General features: G+C 46.3%; 1 annotated feature.

The window, feature by feature from the left end:
* Positions 292 to 492: a silencer, noted in NCBI's record as "peak4014 fragment used in MPRA reporter construct". NCBI's record gives its function as "represses an SCP1 promoter by STARR-seq MPRAs in K562 erythroleukemia cells {active_cell/tissue: K562}" and the evidence as "EXISTENCE:reporter gene assay evidence [ECO:0000049][PMID:32103011]".

Genomic DNA, 1,113 nt, shown 5'->3' with positions numbered 1-1,113 from the left:
CCTCAGCCTCTTGAGTAGCTGGGATTACAGGGCTGTGCCACCACACCTGGCTGATTTTTGTATTTTTAGTAGAGACAGAGTTTCACCATGTTGGCCAGGCTGGTTTTGAACTCCTGACCTCAAGTGATCCACTCGCCTCGGCCTCGTAGAGTGCTGGGATTACAGGCATGAGCCACTGCGCTTGGCCTGTGCATTTTTTAAATCTGAGTTTCTAAGAGCTCTACAAGATAAACAAAAAATTATTACCATTTTATAGCTGCAGAAACTGAGACCGAAAAGGCAAGGTTGACTTGTCTAAGGACATGAACTAGTAAGTAGTGAAATCAGCTTATAACAGCAAGCATATTTTAAATAGTGCCATTTGGCTTATGCAGCACTTTCACGTATATTTTCTCTGACCAGTAGTGCAGGGCTCTTCCCATCCTGACAGTCGGCTTGTGGCCTCTCCATCATGCCCAGCTGGTTATTAGCATGTTGCTGGCCCAGCAGATTTTAGGCTACAAATAGATGTATTTGTTGTCTGACTGATTCTTTTCCTGGAGTCAGGCACATTTACCCTTGCTAGAAACCAAGCCCTCCCTGCTTCCTGGCTCAGGTTAAGAGGCAGTTTTATGAGGCCCTGAGAAGGCACATGGCTACCTCCTTACACTTGTGTGGCACAGAAGAGCTCTCCAGGTGAGTACTAAATTGCCAAAGCTTAAAGGATGTGGAAGGGCAATTTTGGGGTGGGGAGACGGGGTTACAAGGGGATGCAGCTGTAGTCCCAACTCTATTACCTGCCAAGGGGTGGGGCTTTGCTGCTTTTTTGTTTTTTGTTTTCCAGAGACAGGGTTTTGCTAGGTTGCCCAGGCTAGACCCGAACCCCTGGGCGTAAGTGACCCTCCTACCTCACCCTCCTGAGCAGCTGAAACTATAGGCAAGTACCACGCCACTCAGCTCTTTCGGCTGTTTTCTATTTTCTTCAAATGTGTAGTATTTGGTGGTTAGTAGAGAAAGGGAGAGGAATGATTTCTGTTTCATAAACTCAAATTCAACTTCACAGCTTCTGTGTTCCTAATTTCCATAATTCTCATCTTCTATGGCAATCTCTAACTGCTGCTTCCCCACATTCCC

This window comes from Homo sapiens, chromosome 2 (assembly GCF_000001405.40).
Source record: "Homo sapiens chromosome 2, GRCh38.p14 Primary Assembly".
Taxonomy (NCBI): domain Eukaryota; kingdom Metazoa; phylum Chordata; class Mammalia; order Primates; family Hominidae; genus Homo; species Homo sapiens.
The sequence above is the reverse complement of the archived record's forward strand: the minus strand, read 5'-3'. Positions and strand labels throughout refer to the sequence as shown.